The sequence below is a fragment of the Homo sapiens genome, chromosome 15, assembly GCF_000001405.40.
Source record: "Homo sapiens chromosome 15, GRCh38.p14 Primary Assembly".
In the NCBI taxonomy this organism is placed as follows: Eukaryota; Metazoa; Chordata; class Mammalia; order Primates; family Hominidae; genus Homo; species Homo sapiens.
The window spans coordinates 55,148,364-55,171,179 of record NC_000015.10 but is presented as its reverse complement, the minus strand read 5'-3'; positions in this window follow the sequence as shown (position 1 = coordinate 55,171,179).

The following is a 22,816-nucleotide window of genomic DNA, read 5'->3' as shown; positions in this document are numbered from 1 at the left end:
GAGGCAGGAGAATCACTGGAACCCAGGAGGCAGAGATTGTGTTGAGCCGAGATTGCTCCATTGCACTCCAGCCTGGGCAACAAGAGCAAAACTCCATCTCAAAAAAAAAAAAAAAAAAAAAAAAGAGAGAGAGAAAGAAAAAAAAAGAATTGCACTGGATGGGTTTGCTCCTTCAAAACTAACAGGAGAGAGAGGCTGAACAAATGGTGTTCTTCAGGCAAGGGGCTTCCTGACGTGTAGTCATTTGTTAACTGCCCGAGTTTTGGTCTTAGAATTTCTTTTCCCTCTCCTCCTCTTCCTTCTTAATAAATCATCACAAATACAGTTGAAGTCTCCCCTTCCACACTGTGTTCCATTTCTCTCCATTCAGAGAACCCCTAGAGAACCACCCCCTTTTTTTAAATTAAAATTTATTTTGAAATAATTTCAAACTTAGAGAAAAATCACAAGGACTGCACAAAGAACTCCCCATATCCCCTTTAAAGGAATAATGATAATAATAAAGTGTTTTTAATTCCTGGCATGTATTTTATTGGAGGCATTTCTGTGATTGGAACGGGAGTTGAGGCAATGTCAGATGTATTATAACAAAGTAAATTCCTTAAATTGTCGCGCAGTGAAACATTAACAGCAGTAACTACCCTTTCAAATTCCTTTTAGTTTTCAATAGAAAGGGCCAGAAAGTGCCTTTACATTTTTGTCTTGGAACAACTCTGCAATTTCATCTTGATTTAATATTTCTAGTAATAAAGCATCTTCCGACTCCACATTCTTATCTCTGGGCAGACATTTTATTCTTAAGAATTGTAGTGATTGATAAGAAGCTAAATGGAAATGATTAACGTGTCAATGATTAATAATTATAACAACATTCAAACACTTAGAAATTATAGTATTTCATCAGATGTCTTTTTAAAGAGGCATTTCTGGCCAGTTGTGGTGGCTGACCTTTGGGAGGCTGAGACGGCTGGATCACTTGAGGTCAGGAGTTCGAGGTGAGACTGGCCAACATGATGAAAACCCTTCTCTACTAAAAAAAAAAAAATACAAAAATTAGCCGGGCATGATGGCAGGCACCTGTAATCCCAGCTACTCAGGAGGCTGAGACACGAGAACCACTTGAACCTGGGAGGCAGAGATTGCAGTGAACTGAGATTGTGCCACTGCACTCCAGCCTGGGGTGACAGAGCGAGACTCAGTCTCCAAAAAAAAAAAAAAAAAAAAAAAAAAAAAAAAAAAGAGGCATTTCTGTGAGAAGAGCAGCAGGTAGGCAAGCCAACTTTCCCAGGGCCTATAGCCCCTTTTCCCCGATTGTAGAGCATCCTTCCTTTGGTCCCCTGTGAGGGGCCAGCAGATTTCTCTGCTCTCTGCGGTGGGGGTGGTGGGTGGGGGGAGAACCACTCTTCTGAAGTGGATATTTACCTTTTCAGGCGTGTTTTCATAATTTAGCTTCGTCAGTCTATATCCACAAACAATATATTATATTATTTTGCAAGTACTTATACTTTTAAAAAATGATCTCATGTGAGGATGTCCTATTGTATCATATTTTTTCACGAAACATTATTATTGTTATATCCATGTTGTGCATACAGGTAGACTTAGCTTATTAATTTAAATGAGGTATAATATTCCATCATATAAATGTACCACAAGTTGTTATCCATTTGCTGAGTGTTAATTTTCCATTAAATAAATGCCTGCTTTCTCACAATTACAATTAGTGAAGATCCTTTCATCTGTGGTTTTGCTGGGATTTGAACTTGAGATCATCTGACCAGTAAGCCCGTGCTTTCCTCATTATATTAAGATTGCCTCTCAAGTAATAGACTTCTATCATAATCCAGGTTGATTTGGTGGAACACATTAGCTAAGTATTTAAATTTGGTAATGCCATTTTCTCTCCAGACAGAAACACTTTACTTATTTCACCAGACATGAAAAGTGGATTTAGTGTCTCAGGGTAAGTTGTCGACTATAGCAGCCACTAGCCCACACGTGGTAACTGAGTGCTTAAAAAGCGGCTAATTACGTGTGTGTGTGTTTAAATATACCTTTCCCCATGGTGCTGAGATGTGTTTTAATTGTAAAAATATATACCAGATTTTGATGGAAAAAGTGTGTAAAATATCATTAATTTTTGGTATTGAAATAATATTTTGGATATATACGTTTAAATAAAAATGTAGCCAGGCGTGGTGGCTCTCACCTGTAATCCCAGCACTTTGGGAGGCCAAGGTGGAGGATTGCTCGAGCCCAGGAGTTTGACACTAGCCTGGGCAACATGGCGAAACCGTCTCTACTAAAAATAGAAAAATTAGCAGGGCGTGGTGTCATGCGCCTGTAGTCCCAGCTACTCGGGAGGCTGAGGTGGGAGGATCACCTGAGCCTGGGACTTGGAGGTTGGAGTGAGCCGAGATCACGTCAGGCCGCTGCACTCCAGCCTGGGCCACAGAGCGAGACCCTGTCCCAAACAAAGTAATGAAAATTGATTTCATCCATTTCTTTCTACTTTGTTAATGTAGCTTCTTGAAAACTTAGCTACATATTGTGGCTATTGGATAGTGCTAGTGAGGGATTTATTAGGTTGAAATGATCAAGTATGTGCTTCTGGGTGCCAGGTGGGGGCAGCAGAGAGTTGCTAGAATCAGGACTCCTAAAGGTGCTGTCCTACCAATCCTAGAGGCTCAGAAAGACAGGATGTCAGTCAGCAAAGGGGTTAAATGGGAACGTAGTCAACAAGGACCCAAGGATCAAATCCTGCATCCTGGTTGAGAGGGATTACAGCTAGGGCCACCTAGAGGAGAGGGGCTGCTTAACAAATGAAACCTCTAATAAAGCACAGTTTTGAAGTCACACAATTCTGTGTTTGAATTTTGACTTTGTTAACTTGGGTAAGTTATTTGACCTCTGCAAATCTCAGTTTTCACATCTGTAAATTGGAGATGATAGTACATATTTATATTTTTTGTTGATGCATGTAAAGAGGTTATCACATATATTGAATATTTTCCATTTTTATTTTCCTTATTTTAATGTGTCATTGAGAAGGCATAAGAAGGTATAAGAAGGTACCTCTTGCCTTTTGAAGCAGTAGACTCAGGCTGCAGGTCTTACCACATATGGGTTTAAAGTGACTCACATAAGGCTCACCATTTCTTATCCACTTTACATCTTCAGGTAGAGATGAGAAAGTTCTCTATTTGGAATGGTATTCCTTGTACATTGGAGTTCTTACTGTTTTATCTCTTGCCAAACAAAAGCCTTAAATAAATTTCTTTTTTTTTGGCTCTCAGCTGGGTAATGCATGCATTTGTTCATCACAGAAGTTGCCCCGTCCTGTGTTAAGCAAGCCTTAGGGATGCAGAGATGAATGAAATGTAGTCAAAATACCTACAGCTAGGTGAAAGAGCTAGATGAAGGTCACCTAGCTATGACACAGTGTGACAGGCACCAAAGTCAAGTTATGAGAAAGTTAATTCCATGGGGAGGGCAGCGAGGGTTTCAGCGATGGCCTTGAAAAGGAGAGGACGTTATTGAGCTCCTCATCATCCCATTTTCTAAAATTCCCAGTCTTCCAAGTTTCAATGACTTTCATCTCTACCAATCACCAGCAAAGCGACAGGCTAGAATGCATCACCAATAGAAACTGCTTTATTTTTTAAGTCCTGAGCTCTGATTTTTCTCTCAGTACTGCCCAATATCTCTTATCCTCCTAACTCTGTTTAGGAAACTTTTATTGAGCAGTTTATAAGTACAAAGATGGTGTTTCTTCATAGGCATGGGCCTTCACACTCTTGCTATGATTCTTCTTACTGCATTGATTGCCTCCACACAGACCTCAGGAAACTGAATAGTGTTTCTTCCTGTTTGCTCTCTAGGTAGAAGACAGTAGACATGGCTCTGTCCAGAATTATTGCTTAGATCATTTTCCCTTTCCACGGAGTTCCAGATGTGTCAATTTGGAATGCTGTTCTTTTTTGAAATATTTGCAATTTAAATATATAATTAAAAGCTAATGATCGGGCATCTGCTTATAATAGGAGAATTTGGTTCTGCAGGTTTCTGTTAGACTGCAGTCATATTATTGACAACACTGGCATTCTGAAGAAAAGCCTTCCAATATGGCTTCAGGTTGTAAACCATTAGGTTGGTACTATTCTTTAATGAAGTGGTCTCTAAAGTGGGATGTGGCTATTCAGGGGCTTGCAAGGTAATTCAAAGGGATTCAGAAAGAAAACATTAAGCTATTATTTATATTTAGCTTTTAATCATCCTTTTATAACATATATGTTTTGTGTATGCTTTGTAATGTTTGTGCCACAATACAAGTATATAATAAATGTACATATACTAAGGGTGAGCAAAATTTTTTAGTGATGGGGCACACATAATCAAAGAATTCTGTAGACAACTAACTGCCCTAATGTGTTAGAATTTTTGTGATTTCTAGTGACAGAAACCCAACTCAAAAGAGCTTCTAGAAAGAAGGCACTTATTGGCATTCCATACTGAAAAGACCAGATGTGCAGTTAGCCTCAGGTACGAGGGGCCAGACACTTTGTGGTGTTGTCAGGGTGCACACACTCTGTCCGTCAGCTGTGTATGTGGGGAAAGATGGCAAATTGAGCTCTGAACTCACACTCTTCCAACTTACCACCCAGTGGCAAGAGACTCTCTTCCTTGGCATTCCAGACTGATTGGTATGAGTGGGTCCCATTCTCGTATCTGAACCAATCACTGTGGTCAGTGGGAATGGAATATTCAGGTTATCTGGATTGATCCTGTTCTTAGGGAAAGGAAGCAATATGGTTTGGCTCTGTGTCCCCACCCAAATCTCACCTTGAATTGTAATAATCCTCACGTGTCAAGGGTGGGACCAGGTGGAGGTCATTGAATCATGGCAGCGATTTCCCCCATGCTGTTCTCGTGTTAATGAGCGAGTCTCACGAGATCTGATGGTTTTATAAGCATCTGGCATTTCTTGTGCTGGCACATTCTCTCTCCTGCCGTCCTGAGGAGGTGCTTTCCGCCATGATTGTAATTTTTCTGAGGCCTCCCCAGCCATGCAGAACTGTGAGTCAATTAAACCTCTTTCCTTTGTAAGTTACCCAGTCTTTGGTATTTCTTCATAGCAACGTGAGAATGGACTAATATGGGAGGATATGGAATAACCCCGTGGGAACCACATGGTAAAGGTTTCTGCCAGGAAAGAAAAAGGGGATCTAGGAAAGTGGACAGACTGAACATGTAGCATTTTCAATGAAATTAGAACTGATTGCCACGGGAGAGGTCAGGACAAAGTAGCCAGTCCAAAGATGTTAAGATCCATAACCCAATCAGTAACATTTACAAAAATAAGTGAGCATGAGAAACTGAAGTGAGCTGCCAGGTTCATTCCTAGGATGAGAAAAGTTGTATGTTACATGTGTATTAAGGTGACACCACCAAGTCTAGGTTAACATTGCTTTTGAAACCCCATGTTAAAGAAAGGCTGAGATGTAATTTCTCCCCTTCTAGCACTGCCAGTCAGCTTTCTCAGAGTGAACCTTGCGGTGCTTATCATATCAAAAGCTTTGGGGTCAGAGTGGCCCTGGTTTGCATCTTGATTCTGCCACACACTAGCTGTGTATATGCTGGCCAGTTTACCAGAAGTCTCTTAATCTCACTGACTTCACTTGTACCTCTCTGGTAGGGCTGTTGGGAAGAGAATATCCAGCATAGTTCCTAGCACTTGATAAACAGGAAGTTTTATGTTGTTACTGCTAATGCTGACGTTTTCCTCTTCAATGAGTTTGGTCAAATTCCTAGTTTGGGATCCAGGCAGGGTTGATTCATCTTTGGAAACCTCACTGAGTCTCCAACAAACCTGGCATGTAGTAGGTGTTCAATAAATAACCGTTGAATAATGAATGAGGGAATGATTGTAGCTTATTTTGTTTCAAATCTTTCCCAAAGGGTTCCATTATGAAATACTGCTTAAACTTGCAGCTCTACCAGAGAACAAATTATTCTTTGAACAAGAAAATTATTTCTTAGTGTTTTCCCTCTAGCCTTCTGAAATGTGGACCAATATTACTGCAGGGAAACTTTTCAGTGTATTGGGATTTTAGCACGGGCTTTCTGCTGAAGTATACAATTTTTCATGGCTTATTTTTACACCTCATAAAATATTTTGATCTGTTTTCCTAAACTGACCATGGAAGACCTGAGTAGCTGTCCTCACCGACTTTTCCGGAGACCCTTTCTCACTAGAGAAGAGCTGAGAAAGCTGACCTGGTCTGTAATGGTCTGAGATGCTTGAAAAATCAACTTGGGAGTAAAAGGTACAGGTTTTCTTGGGCCAACTTTGGACCACTCTTGTGACTCTCAATGTAGAGGAAGTTGCCATGGAAAACAATCATTTAAAAGACACACTGTTCTTTTGGGAGATGGTGATCAAGAGGAAAGTCGTATATATTTTCTTACATGCTACTGAAGGACTGACTCATTTTTGATAACCCGTATTTGCCCAAGAATCTGGTATACTCGAGTTTTTGGCTAAAGGGAAGCAAACTAGTAACCTGCCCAAGATGCTGGCAGAACTTCAGCCTTGGGAAAATGTTGAGGTCTCCAGGACTCTCAACTCTAACCCCAAACTTCATGCTTGCTGAAGACACAGCAATAATACTGGAAGGGCTGGCCAGCTGCCAAGAGAACATTCCTGTCACCCTGATTTTAAGAGTAAAACAGACAAATGAAGTTGGTGACTTCAGGTCTAATGATTGACCACAGCCAAAGTCACTTTGGATTTTTCTTCTAAAGATAAGAAAAACTACTGGGAAGATGAGACATTCTTTCGGTCTGATCTACAGGAGGAATTGTGTTTCCAGACGGCAATGTAGCTTTGCTCCCCTGCTGGAGAGGAGAAAAATAAGTAATAGGGTTTGTGTGAACTGGGCAGAAAATAAGGGCCTGAGGACCCAGGCTGACGAATGGTGAGCAGAGGAGGGCATGAAGTGGGCTTCTGCTGAAGGTGCGGTGGAAAGGCTGCGCATCTCTCCGGCTGACCTTACTGCTGCAATTTGCACGGATGTGAAATGAAATACAAGCAGGTAGGCGAACCCGCTGAGGCCACTGACAGCCATGTGACAGCCTACCAGTCAGGGTGAAATGTCTCCAAGGCAGTGACAAGAGCTGTAACAGGGAATATTTTCACCAATAAGAGAAGCTAAGGACCTAGGACAGACTCCAGGCAAGCTCTCTGATGGAAATACAAAAAGGGATGGCTTTGCTCTCTTCTGCCCTCATTTTTTCCCATCTCCATTGTTAGTCCTGCCAACAGAAGGCAGTGGGCTTACAGACATGGGTTGAATTATTCAGCTGTTGATTTTGAATAGAAAAACACTGTGAAAGAAAATAATCATGAAAAATGTGTTTACGAGGAAGACTTGGGATATTTTTCATCAATAAAGCATCAAGAAGCGATTTCAGATTATATACCAGGGAATGGAGCAAATATGACTCAGGTTCTGTAACTTTTAGAACTAGCTGTCTCCCCAAATACCATGAGATTTCATTCAGTGGTGATTGCAACCTGGCATTTTTACAGAGATCTAAACTTTTTCAGGGTACGTTTGCATAATTCTTTCATTTAAGGTGTGTTACAACCCTGCACAGTTTGAAGGGCCCATATTATTATTCCCCTAGGATAGATGATCAAACTGAAACTCATAAAGGCCCCACAGACTTGCTCAAGGTCACATACCCAGTTAAAGGTAGCCCTAGGGCTGGAACCCAGGCCTCCATTCTCTTAGCTGTTTTCATGTCATCACACAATGCTACCTCTGTTTCAGCATAATAACATCTCCTGCTTTGACCTGGACCAGTTTGTAGATAACCCAGCCTTTCAGAGAAACATGCTGGAGCTTCCTCTGTGGGAATTCCAGCATATCTTGGTGTTCAGAAAGGCAGCTAGATGCTAAGAGTGGGAGGAGGCTTATACTGCTCCTTTCCAAGAGGGACAGGATAGTTTGAACAGACTTGCAAGGGGAACGTTTCCTCTTCAAAATCTTTGTTTTGTAAAAATAGACGCCATTTGGTAGCAGCCTAGTGTAGAGATAATTAGAGTGGCTTGAATAAATTGAGCTCCTCTCAGGTAGTTTTATTTCTCCAACACTATGCTTAAAGAGTTTTAAATGACCAAGATTTCTCAAAATATTATTAAGTAGGAAATGAGCAAATACAATTCCAACTACTTTTATGAATCCAATATTGTAATAATGTTTCTTAGTCAAATAAAAATACATTTACCTAGAACATAAATACATAGGAGAATGGGTAAAGGCAGCTATATCCTTAGAAATAATGTTTTATCTTCCCTTCATAGACATTTATTTGGTATCAAAAGATAATAACTAGGCTCTATTTCCTGTGAATAATTCCAGCAGTAAAGAACAAATTTCTTTTTTTTTTTATTATGTTTTAAGTTTTAGGGTACATGTGCACAATGTGCAGGTTTGTTACATATGTATACATGTGCCATGTTGGTGTGCTGCACCCATTAACTCGTCATTTACATTAGGTGTATCTCCTAATGCTATCCCTCCCCACTCCCCCCATCCCACGACAGGCCCCAGTGTGTGATGTACCCCTTCCTGAGTCCATGTGTCCTCATTGTTCAATTCCCACCTATGAGTGAGAACATGGCGGTGTTTGGTTTTCTGTCCTTGCGATAGTTTGTTGAGAGTTATGGTTTCCAGCTTCATCCATGTCCCTACAAAGGACATGAACTCATCATTTTTTATGGCTGCATAGTATTCCATGGTGCATATGTGCCACATTTTCTTAATCCAGTCTATCATTGTTGGACATTTGGGTTGGTTCCGAGTCTTTGCTATTGTGAATAGTGCCGCAATAAACATACGTGTGCATGTGTCTTTATAGCAGCGTGTTTTACAATCCTTTGGGTATATGCCCAGTAATGGGATGGCTGGGTTAAAAAAAAAAACAAACAAATTTTTATTTTTTTTTTGAGGACTCTCATTTGGTTTTCCATTGGTAAGGCTGCATACAATATAATTTAGGATTCCTTTTTTCAATCACTGGCCATTTGCCATAGGGGAAACCAGTGTTCCATCACTCATCCAAAAATGGGCATTTGTTTGTAGTAACCATTATTGTGGGCCTTGGGGAGCTGTTTAAGATGAAACACTATTCATGACTCTCTCCCTTTCCTCAAGACCAAGAGTTGGTTATCATCAGGTATCGCACCAACAGCACAGACAGGGGACAGGACGTTGCTGTCTCAGGCATTTGTTCTGGATCGGGGTTCAGATTTCCTCCTTCACAAAGTCTGCAGCTTTATGGAGCTGCTGTAGGGACTTTCCCTGCTTGACTGGATTCTCAGTGGCATAGATTCTGCTTGTGGGCAGGCCTTGGCCACAGGGTGGGGACCTTGGCCACAAGGACCTGCAGGCCACTTATGGGCCAGGCTGAATTGAACAGCATATTTACTGAGAGTGGCAAGAGGCATCCTAACTAGGAACTGAGTGCCAAATCATAGTCCAGAGCTGAAACAGGGTCTTGGAGCTGGAGAAGTGGTCTGGAAGGTAAAGTAATACTATAAACAGGAAACAGAGCTGGTAGAATGAGAAAAGAGTGGAGAGTTGAGGGGGAGTTGGGTTGGGGTGTGTCACTTAGGACAGAGGCACTGAATAAGCAGAGGTTCTTCTGGAAGCCCGCAGAAGCATCCTAAGAAGGGTGTACTTTATCTGTTCAAAGCAAAGGCTAATTGCAACAAAACAGCCCTTTCTTTTATAAAAAATTAATATTAAAAAACTATAATTGTATGCGTTTATGGGGATGCAATGTGATGTTTTGATATATGCAATGTGGAATGATTAAATCAAGCTATTAATAATTAATATGTCCATCATCTCCTTTGCCTGTCATTTTTATGGTGAGATATTTGAAATTTACTCTCTTGGTTATTTTGAAATATGTAATACGTTATTATTAACTATAGTCACCTTGCGGTGCAATAGATCTCAATACTTATTCCTTCTATCAAACTTTGTATTCTCTGACCAGCAACTCCCCATCCCCTCCCTCACCTCACCACACAGCCTCTGGCAACCATGACTCTACTCTCTATGAGTTGCTATATAATTCACATTCCTACTAACAATGTACAACAGTTCCCCTTTTTCTACATCCTCAACAACATGTATCTTCCATCTTTTTGATAAAAGGCATTCTAACAGGTGTGAGATGAAATCTCACTGGGGTTTTAATTTCTCTAATCATTAGTGATTTTGTGTATTTTTTCATGTCTGTTGGCCTTTTGTATGTTGTCTTTTGAGAAATGTTTGCTCAGGTTCTTTGCCCATTAAAAAAATGTGGTTGTTGGCTGGGTGCGGTGGCTCATGCCTGTAATCCCAGCACTTTGGGAAGCTGAGACGGTGGATCACGAGGTCAGGAGATGGAGACAATCCTGGCTAACATGGTGAAACCCCGTCTCTACTAAAAATACAAAAATTTAGCCGGGCGTGGTTGCGGGCGCCTGTAGTCCCAGCTACACTGGAGGCTGAGGCAGGAGAATGGCGTGAACCCTGGAGGCGGAGCTTGCAGTGAGCCGATCACGCCACTACACTCCAGCCTGGGTGACAGAGCGAGACTCTGTCTGAAAAAACAAACAAAAAAAAAAAACCAAAAAAAACCTGGTTTTTTCTTGTTATTGAATAGTTTGAGTTCTTGAGTTCTGTATATATTTTGTATATTAACCCCTTGTCAGATGCATGTTTTGAAAATATTTTCTCTTATTCTGTGGGCTGTCTCTTTACTCTGTTTTTTCCTTTGTTTGCGGAAGCTTTTTAGTTTGATGCAATTACCTTTGCTTGATTTTACTTTAGTAACCTGTTCTTTCAGGGTTATATAGAAAAAAGCTGTTTCCCAGACCAATGATGTAGAGCTTTTTTCCTGTGTTTGCTTCTAGCTGTTTTACAGTTTCAGATCTTACATTTAAGTTTTTAATCTATTTTGAGTTATTTTTGTATATGATGTGAGACAAGGATCTAATTTCATATCCACTTTTCCCAATATCACATTTATTGAAGAGACTCTCCTTTCCCCATTGTATATTCTTGGCAACTTTGTTGAAAATCAGTTGACCACAAATGTGTGGGTTTATTTCTGGGCTGGGCTTTTCCATCCTGTTCCATTTGTAGATGTGTCTGTTTTTATGTGATACCATGCTGTTTTGATTACAATTGGTTTATAATATATTTTGAGATCAGGTAGTGAGATGCCTCCAGCTTTTTTTCTTTTTGCTCAAGATTGTTTTGGCTATTTGTGGTCTTTTGTGGTTCCATACACATTTAAGGATTGTTTTTTCTATTTCTGTGGAAAATGACATTGGAATTTTGATGGGAATTTTGTGTTAAAACTGTAGATTGCTTTGGGTAGTGTGGACATTCTAACAATATTAATTCTTTCAATCTATCAGTATGGAATATCTTTCCACTTACTTGTGTTTTCTTCAGTTTCTTTAATCAGTATTTTATAGTTTTCAGTGTACAGGTTTTTTACCTCCTTAGTTAAATTTACACCCAAGTATTGAAATTTTTTTGTTACTGTTATAAATAGAATTATCTTGATTTTCTTTTTTCTTTTTTTCCAGATAGTTTATTTCTATACAGTAACAGTACTGATTGTTGTATGTTGATTTTTGTATCCTGCAACTTTACTGAATTTTTATCAGTTCTAACAGTTTTTGGGAATATCTAAGGTATTTGGGGTTTTCCATATATAACATCATGCCATCAGCAAACATAAACAATTTAACTTCTTCCTTTCCTATTAGGGTGCCTTAATAAAAAAATCTTGCCTAATTTATCTGTCTAGGACTCCCAGTACTATGCTGAATAGAAGTGGTGAGAGTGAACATCTTTGCCTTGCCCTTCATCTTAGAGTAAAAGCTTTCGGTTTTTCACCATTGAGTATGACGTTAGCTATGAGTTTGTCGTATATGTCCTTTATTATGTCCTTCTATAGCTAATGTGTTGAGAATTTTTGTTATGAAAGGATGGTGAATTTTGTCAACCACTATTTCTGCTTCTGTTTGGATGATCATGTGATTTTTATCCTTCATTCTGTTAACGTGGTATATTACTTTCATTGACTTGCATTTACTGAACCATCATTTTTTCCTGGGAGAAATCTCACTTGATTATGACAATTATTCTTTTAATGTTGTGGAGTTAGGTCTGCTAACATTTTGTCGAGCGGTTTTGCACCTCTGTTCACCATGGTCTATAATTTTTGCACCTCTGTTCATCATTGGTCTATAATTTTCTTGTAGAGTCTTTGTCTGGCTTTAGTATCAGGATAATGCTGGCCTCCTAGAATGAGTTTGAAAGTATTCCCACCACTTCAGTTTTTTGGAAGAATTTGAGAAGAATTGGAATTAGTTCTTTAAGTGTTAGGTAAAATTCAGCAGTGAAACCATCAGGTCCTGGGCTTTTCTTGGGTAGACTTTTTATTATTGATTCAATCTTCTTACTCATTATTAATCTGTTCAGATTTTCTGTTTCTTCAGAATTCAGTCTTTGTATGTTGTATGTGTCTAGGAATTTATTTCTTCTAGATGATCCAATTTGTTAGCATAAAATTGTATGTGGTGATTTCTTACGATCCTTCGTATTTCTGTGGTATCAGTGAAAACATTTTCTAAGGAGAAAGTTAGGAAACACCTCCTGTCTGGGCTCAACAGTAAACAGTCCATTAAGTGGATGATGGGAGACACTGTTTCTGAGTTTGTTGCCACAAGACATCAGGAGAAGGGTAGATAGAAGAGGACCAAGGTGATGGCAAAACCAAGCTCTGGGTAGACACTAAAAGAAATCAACCTAAATTATTCTGTTTTTCAGGCTCTGTGAGTAAGATGCAAAAAACTCAGAACAGGGATTTAATTCTTTTAACAAGGCTTGAGGTTTCTCTAGACAAAAATTTCGCCAGATTGGAGTTGCTGTGTAATAAATGATTGCGTGGTTTCAAATCTTCAGTGAGGCAGACAGCTGTCTCTCTCTGGGTCTTTCTAATGTCTCTCCACTAACTGCCTCCTGCAATAGAACTTCTCTCAGCCTGGAAAGATTGAATGCATACTTTAGGGGGAAAGAGCAGGCTTTTCAGCACTAATGCTTCTCTTGCCTAACTCCTCATAGTCTGCATTTCATTCACTTCTAGTACAAAGTACCTTAGCTCTGGACTATTTTGGAATTTTTATGCAAGGAGTTTATCATAGAATATTGGAGTTGAAAGGAACATTGGAAATCATCTTGTGTAAAGACATTATTTTACAGATGAGAAGATTGAAGTCCATGGTATTTACCCATAGTGGTAGATGGTAGAGCTGCATTCAGAATACAGGTGTCTTGACTTCATCACAACATAGGTAAGAAATGGGAAATAATGAACTTACTTCAAAGGTGAATTTAATACTTTGTTTTCTTTTGAACTTTTATTTTAGGTTCAGAGGTACATATGCAGGTGTGTTATATAGGTAAACTGCATGTCATGGGTGTTTGGTGTACAGATTGTTTTGTCACCCAGGTAATAAGCATAGTATCCAATAGGTATTTTTTCTGATCCTCTCCCTCCTTCCACCCTCCCCCATCAAGTAGGCCCAGGCACCAGTGTCTGTTGTTCCCCTCTGTGTGTCCATGTGTTCTTATCATGTAGCTGCCACTTAAAAATGAGAACATGTGGTATTTGGTTTTCTGTTCCTGCATTAGTTTGCTTAAAATAATGACCTCCAGCTCCATCCCTGTTGCTGAAAAGGACATGATCTTTTTCTTTTATGGCTGCATACTATTTCATGGTGTATATGTACCACATTTTATTTATACAGTCTACTGTCGATGGGCATTTAGGTTGATTTCATGTCTTTGCAGTTGTGAATAGTGTTGCAGTGAACACACATGTGCATGTGTCATTATGGTAGAATAATTTGTTTTTCTTTGGGTGTATACCCAATAATGGGATTACTGGATTGAATGGTAATTCTATTTTAAGTTTTTTGAAGAATCACCACACTACTTTCCACAATGGCTGAACTAATTTACAGTGCAGTTAGCACCGTATAAGCATTCCCTTTTCTCCACAACTTTGCCAGCATCTCTTATTTTTTGACTTTTTAGTAACACCCTTTTTGACTGGCATGAGTTGGTATCTTATTGTTGTTTTGATTTGCATTTATCTAATGATTAGTGATATTGAGGATTTTTTCATATGCTTCTTGGCCACATGTATGTCTGCTTTTGAAAAGTCTGTTCATGTCCTTTGCTTACCTTGGGGGTTGTTCATTTTTTTGCTTGTAAGTTTGTTTAAGTTCCTTATAGATGCTGGATATTAGACCTTTGTCAGATAGATAGATTGCAAAAATTTTCTCTTATTTTGTAGACTGTTTATTCTGTGGATAGTTTGTTTTGCTGTATAGAAGCTCTTTAATTTATTTAGGTCCTGTTTGTCAATTTTTGTTTCTATTGCAATTGCTTTTGGTGTCTTCATCATGAAATCTTTGCCAGGTCCTATCTCCAGAATGGTATTGCCTAAGTTGTCTTCCAGGGTTTTTATAGTCTTAGTTTTTACATTTCAGTCTTTAATCCATCTTGAGTTGATTTTTGTATATGGTATAAAAAAGGGGTCCAGTTTCAATCTTTGGCAGATGGCTAGCCAGTAATCTCAGCATCATTTATTGCACAGGGAGTCTTTTCCCCATTACTTTCATCAGCTTTGTCAAAGATCAGATGGTTGTAGGTGTGTGGCCTTATTTCTGGGCTCTTTATTCTGTTCCATTGGTCTGTGTGTCTGTCTTGGTACCAGTACCATGCTGTTTTGGTTACTGTAGCATTGTAGTATAATTTGAAGTCAGGTAACGTGATGCCTCCAGCTTTGTTCTTTTTGCTCAGAGTTGCCTTGGCTATTTGGGTTCTTTTTTGGTTCCAAGTGATTTTGATTTAGTTTTTTGAGACAGGGTCTCACTCTGTCACCCAGGCTGGAGCACAGCAGTCAATCTCAGGTCACTGCAGCCTCCGCATCCCAAGTTCAAGTGATTCTTCTGCCTCAAGTCTCCTGAGTAGCTGGGATTACAGGTGCGTGCCACCATACCCAGCTAATTTTTGTATTTTTAGTAGAGACGAGGTTTCACAATGTTGGCCAGGCTAGTCTCAAACTCCTGACCTCAAGTGATCCTCCCGCCTTGACCTCCCAAAGTGCTGGGATTACAGGCGTGAGCCACTGTGCCCGGCCGGCCCCAAGTGATTTTTAAAATAGTTTTTTCTAATTCTGTGAAGAATGTCATTGGTAGTTTGATAGGAATAGCATTGAATCTGTAAATTGCTTTGGGCAGTTTGGCCATTGTAATGATCTTAATTCTTTCCAGCCATGAGCATGGGATGTTTTTCCATTTGTTTGTGTCATCTCTGATTTCTTTGAGCAGTGTTTTGTAATTCTTGTAGAGATCTTTCGCCTCCCTGGTTAGCTGTATTCCTAGGTATTTTATTCTTTTTGTGGCAATTGTGAATGTGATTCAAAGGTAAATTTTAAAGGAATGTGTAGTAAACATGAGAATGCCATCATAGTTTGGGGAAGGTGATTATTTTACTGTTTAAAGTTTTGATTACTAACCTAGATGTGGTAATTAACTTTTAGTAGCTAGTTAAAAGGCAACTGATACAATGTGAACAAAAACTAAAAAGTAGCACTTCACTGTTTGCTCCTAAAACTGGTCAGTCTGCTAAGTTAAAATGAGTTATAATAAAAAAGATTTATTTCTAGGTCAAATATCAATGAATCAGTTTGACTTTAACAGTTCAGTTAATCAAATTCCTACATTTCATAACAAAACCATTGTTTCCTTGTTCCTATAATATTTTTGCCCCAAATCTCTTAGATTTGAGAAGAAATCATCTTGAAATTGATTAGATCAAACTGCTGACTCTACCTCTGTGATCGCTAACACCGATGCCCATTTCACTTCTAGTTGTTTTATCTTTGCCTTTATGCTGTAACTTGTGTAACCAGAGGAGTGGAAGAGGTAAGAAGATTCATCTTGTGCTGTTAATGTTAGGACTGGGGAGAGGAGGGAGTGTTGGGCAGTGGTGTGTAGCTGCAAAAATATTTTGGGGCTATTAACCAATGATCTTTTTTCCTCTGTTGGAAATTTTCGCATTTCTTCATTGGATTTGGTTTCAAAAGCCTCAGGCCATTCTCCAGCAGCTTTCTGAGATGACGAGTCTTGAAAGTAAATTGAGATTTTTGTGTATCTTTTCAACAATTAAAAATTTTCGTTTATGCTTATGTAGAGTTTTATATGAATATATAGCTGTGATCAGAGGACACATGCTTTGAGGCCTTACGTGACTTAAACAGGTCTTTATTTTACCTTCACACTTGGTTGATAGTTTAGCCATATAAAGAGCTTTTGGGGTGATGAAGAACTGGCAACGAGGCTAACCATTTATGCAGAATTTAAAGCAATCCTCCTATTTTCACTCTCCTCTGCACTATCTGGTGTTTCCAGTTCCTGACTTTTTGAAGAAATTCAGATCATGTGATGGCGCACCATATCCGTCCTCTCACCTTCCTCCTGGTTGCTGAGCCTTTGACCACTTCTCCACTAGCCTCCATCTTCATGTGGGTGGTACTTTGGAGGCTCAGGATGGTGCGTATGTATCTGTTTCTGGTTCTAATTGTTTTGAGGTCTTAGATTAAATCTCTCATGCGCCCTTGCTGGAGTTTCCACTTGAGGCTGCTTTTACCAGAGCAGAGAACATGAGAAGGGGCACCAGCAAGCATATGGGCTGGTATTTCCCAAAGAGAACTGAATTATTCCCAGTGGTATAGGAAACCATATCCAGGTAGTACAGCCAGTACACAACCAAGTAGATTTTTGTTTTAATGATGTGCTTATTTTACTGTCTACTAGGAAAAATCATAACCAACCCATTGTGTCAATCAGAATTGCATTTAGGTCTGTGTAAAAGAAAACCCAGAGAACAGTGGCCTAAACACATAGGGACAGGAGTGTTTTTTACATAACAGGGAATTATAGCAAAGGCAGTTTCCCATGAATTTAATAAAGCAATAAGCTCCAGGACCACACACCTGCATGGGCTCCTTTCAAGGCCCTGGGGAGGGCCTAATAATATTGCTTTCCTAATCTTAGATTCTTTTGTTGAGGTTCCCCAAACTGCATAAACTTTAGAACTTAGAAAACCCGTATCCACCCCTATAGTCTGAGGCTGGTACAGCAGCTCTGTGACATTAGTGTCCTAGAAATTAAATATTGTTAAAGTTTTCTGGGTTCAACCCAAGGAGAAAAAGGGAGCTTTGAAGGGCTTTGGAGTGGTCACTTGACAGTGTCTGCCTCATGTATATTTTCATAGATATCATTGCTTAGAATGAGGCTATGAAGAAAGAATGAATAGGTTTAAAGACAAACATTAAGCAAGTTACATTGAGAGCATGTAATCTAAAAAAATTAATTAGGGTGGTATATGAATTAGTAAGTTTGGAAAACAGTAAGTAATTTTACAGAGACAAAAGAAGGCTAGAGAAATTATGCATGTAATTGTATAGCATGGCTATTAAGAACAGTAGCTCTAAAATCAATTCTTGCCTAAATTTGAATCCCAACTCTGCCTTCTTCTACTTGGGTAATACTTAGCAAGTTATATACCTTCCTTTCTTTCTTTTTCTTTTCTTTTCTTTTCTTTTTTTTTTGATACAGAGTCTTGCTCTTGTTGCCCAGCCTGGAGTGCAGTGGCAGGATCTTGGCTCATTGCAACCTCCACCTCCTAGATTCAAGTGATTCTCCTGCCTCAGCCTCCTGAGTAGCTGGGATTATGGGTGCCTGCCACCATGCCCAGCTAATTTTTGTATTTTTAGTAGAGACGAAGTTTCACTATATTGGCCAGGCTGGTCTCAAACTCCTGACCTCAGGTGATCCGCCCACCTTGGCCTCCCAAAGTGCTGGAATTGCGGGCATAAGCCACCATGCCCAGCCCAAGTTTATAACCTTTCTGAGTCTCAGTCATCTTATCTGTAAAATCGGGATGAAAATAACACCTATCTCAGGGGGTTGTTCTCAGAGGACTAAATAATTAAAGGGTTGATATCTGGCACATGGTAAGTGCTCAATAAATGGTAACTGTTGTGATAATTATTAGCAATGGTGTGTTACTGAAACCTCAGGTCAGTTTTTCAGAAATGTAGCGGAAAAGAAAGAAGATAAAGAAATAAGGCAAGGTCAGTGGGTTGTCAATATTGAGACTGAACCTTATAGGTCAGGCTTTCTCAAACTCAGCACTTTTTTTTTTTTTTTGAGACAGAGTGTTGCTCTATCATACAGGCTGGAGTGCAGTGGTGTGATCATGGCTCATTGCAGTCTTGACCTCCTGGGTTCAAGCAACCCTCCCCCCTCAGCCTCCTGAGTAGTTAGGACTAAAGGTGCCACCACCACCCCGCCTAATTAAAAATAAAATCTTTTTGTAGAGATGGGATCTCACTATGTTGCCCAGGCTGCTCTTGAACTCCTGGGCTCAAGTGATCCTCCTGCCTTAGCCTCTCAAAGGGCTGGGATTACAGGCATGGGCTGCTGTGTCTGGCTAGCCTCAGCACTATTGACATCTTGGGCTGGATAATTCTTTGTTGTGGGGCTGTTTCATGTATCATAAGATGTTTAGCAGCATCCATGGCTTTTACCCACTAGATGCCAGTAGCACCTCCCATGGATGTGACAACCAAGAATATGTACATGTACATGTACATGTATATGTATATGTATATGTGTATATATGTGTATATGTATATGTATCTCACAGTGCTGAAGTTATGAAACAAGGAGACTGCTGCCATTCAGAGAGGCAAAAGGTAGCCATCAAACCTTGTGCCATATGCCTTTGGACCATATTTCTAATGACATCCTGAAAAGTGATCCCCTTTGGGGAAACTGAGGCAACAATAAACATATCTACTCTCAGACCATTCTATAGATCAACGGAGTGATTGGAGTGATGGCCACTCTTCTTTATAGGGCTGACCCTGCAGTTGTCCTAAACCCATCAACTCTGACCACTATTGCCCACAAGTCCAAACCTGGACACTGTCTACCAGCCTGGACACAGGGCTTCCTCTGCACCATATAGGTGGGAGGACTTGTGCAATGGATGACTGAGGGAAAGACAGCTTCTTAGATACTGTACAGTGAGGTGTAAGGCTGTCACTATGACAAGTGTAGGAATAGGAACGTCTCAACACTGCCTCAGATAAAATAGCACTGAGGAGCTTGCTGAGCAGCTGCACAAATAGAATCATGTTGCATATGGAAACCAGAGACAGGACCAATAGGCAGCAGGTGGGGAGACAGCAGAACGAGTACTAGAGGAGGAGTCAGGGTTTGCCTTCTCGATTTTTTTTTTCTTTGCCACTTAATATCAGCCTGCAAATCACTCTGTCTAACCCACCCCACACCTCAATTTCCACCTCTATAAAACAATAAAGTTTACTCTGCTACCTCTCAGGGTATTGTAAAAATCAAATAGGCAACATACATGAATGAAAAACTGAAGCCCTGAATGTGGCAGGTGTTATCCTTCTGAGTAAGGCCTAATGTAGTGTTAGAGGCCAAGAAACAAAAATTAAGAAGCAGCGTACGGTGCAAGCGATGGGTAACAGTAATAGTGACTGATGTACTGAATGCCTATGTGCCTGGAGAACTGCATGAATTATTGATAATCTTGACAGCTCCGGAAACTGGCATTTTTATTCCCATTTGCCGATCAAGTTAAGTGATTTGTTCAAGGAAGGAATTAAACTCAGTCCTGACCATTTATGGAGATTGTGCTTGCTTCACTATCTCACATGCCTCCCCCAAATTCTTTGCACATTTATAGGCACTAAGTATGGGGAATTAAAAAGATGACTCTTATTTTTATGCTTTCGATTCTTTGTAACTTCATTCTCAGCCCTGTTCTTCCCCACCTTAGAAACGTATGTAGGCTTTGACCTAGCAAATCTGTTGTTGAAACGCTGTCAGGAGACTGGCATTCCCGCTTGCTTGCATACTGAGTTCTGACCATGCAGGATTTGGGCATCCTTGTCATGGCCCTGGGGACAGCATGACAGACCACCTGTGTACAGGCTCTCCTTCAACGCCCGTAGAAAACCACAGCAGCTGCAGCAAGGCCGAGGTGAGGATGTGTGTGCATGGAGAGCATGAGGTATTTAATCCCTGAATTCATTTTCTGTTGTTGCTGTAACAAATTGCCACAAATATATGGTGGCTTAAAACAACATAAATTTATTACTTCACAGCCTGCAGGTCAGAAGTCTGACATGGGTCTGACCGGGCTAATATCAAGGTGTCAGCAGGGCTCTTGCATTCCTTTCTGGCAGCTCTAGAGGAGAGGTGGTTTCCTTGCCTTTTTCACCTTCTAGAGACTGTCCACATCCCTTGGTTCCTGGCCCCCTTGCTATGTCTTGAAAGCCAGAAACTCTCTGAACCATTCACATCACATTTCTCTCTGACTGACTACAGCTGGACAGGACTTTTCACTTTCAAGGATTCATGTGCCTAGATTGGGCCACCTGGACAATCCAGGCAAATCTCCCATCTCAAGGTCCTTAACCTCAACCACATTTGCAAAGTCCTCGTTGCCATGTAAGGTAATGTATTCACAAATTCTGGGTATTAGGATATGAACATCTTTGGGAGGCATGTTTCTGCCTATCACAATCCCCATTCAGATCACAAAGTACAACAGGCACAAACAGGTTTGGGAACAAACACAAGTGACTCTTGGTAAACATGGAACTCACTTATCAGGGGAAACAGAAGTGTATAGGGGTACCAGGAGTGGCTGACTAGCTGACATACTGGGACTGTTCAGTATGCACGGTGCCTCTATTGGTTTGTTTTATGGAGAGAATAGACAGAGATGATTAATCTGATAAAATGATTAAATGGAGACCAATATGTAAATAGACTTTATACTGCCATTTGGTAGGGCGTATTTGGGAAGGTGAGTTTGACAGTGTTGCAAGGACTTTGAGTTCTGCTGTTTTAGCCCCGTAGAGTTAAAACAATGGCAAACAATCTCTTAACCCCATCTAATAGTGGAGGGAGACCATCTGCTGGCCTCCCGGACTAGGCACCCATTGATTTTTTTTGAGGTGAGTAACAGCTTGTGGGCAGCTGAATAGTTATTGAAGGTAACTGACATGAGGATAGGGAGGGACAGGAATCAATAGATATGAAATATTTTGAACTTGGCTTGATAATTTCTACTCTATGAAGATGCCTTTTCCTCTCTGCTCAATCAGAGATTTTAACATCCTTCTTAGTTCTAACTGTACCATGTATGTATGCCTCATTTTCAGCTCTTATAACACGAGGCTGTAACTATTTGATTTTTTTCTTGCCAAAATTCTTTATTCTTGCCAAAATTCTTTATTCTCTAGCCAAAGATGATGTCTGTTGTTAATATCTTAAGGTTCTGAAGTCCATCTGGAATTACAGTGCAAGTAAATTGTAGTCTGATCTTGTGCAGTATCTGTAATGCAAGGTGTGACCATCAGCTTATAGATACAGTTGAATCTTAGCATTATTCTAAGGCTTGGAAGTTAAACATAGAATTATATACAGAGAAACAAAGCCTTTCATACATTAAAATAGAAACTATTTCTGCTGATCTATAAAATGTCCTTCTTGTGGGTATTTTCAGATAATTTTCTAAGCTTTTACTATATATATGTATATGTATGTGAATACATATATATGTTTTATTTATTGCAAAACTGTAGTCTCAAGATCATTTTTTAAAATTTTTTTATTTTTATTATACTTTAAGTTCTAGGGTACATGTGCACAACATGCAGGTTTGTTACATATGTATACATGTGCCATGTTGGTGTGCTGCACCCATTAACTCATCATTTACATTAGGTTTATCTCCTAATGCTAACCCTCCCCCCTCCCCCCACCCCATGACAGGCCCCGGTGTGTGGTGTACCCCCTTCTGTGTCCAAGTGTTCTCATTGTTCAATTCCCACCTATGAGTGAGAACATGCGGTGTTTGGTTTTTTGTCCTTGTGATAGTTTGCGGAGAATGATGGTTTCCAGCTTCATCCATGTCCCTACAAAGGACATGAACTCATCCTTTTTTATGGCTGCATAGTATTCGATGGTATATATGTGCCACATTTTCTTAATCCAGTCTATCATTGATGGACATTTGGGTTGGTTCCAAGTCTTTGCTATTGTGAATAGTGCCGCAATAAGCATACGTGTGAATGTGTCTTTATAGCAGCATGATTTATAATCCTTTGGGTATATACCCAGTAATGGGATGGCTGGGTCAAATGGTATTTCTAGGTCTAGACTCTTGAGGAGTCGCCACACTGTCTTCCACAATGGTTGAACTAGTTTACAGTCCCACCAACAGTGTAAAAGTGTTCCTATTTCTCCACATCCTCTCCAGCACCTGTTGTTTCTTGACTTTTTAATGATCGCCATTCTAACTGGTGTGAGATGGTATCTCATTGTGGTTTTGATTTGCATTTCTCTGATGGCCAGTGATGATGAGCATTTTTTCATGTGTCTGTTGGGTGCATAAATGTCTTCTTTTGAGAAGTGTCTGTTCATGTCCTTTGCCCACTTTTTGATGGGGTTGTTTGTTTTTTTCTTGTAAGTTTGTTTGAGTTCTTTGTAGATTCTGAATATTAGCCCTTTGTCAGATGAGTAGATTGCAAAAATTTTCTCCCATTCTGTAGGTTA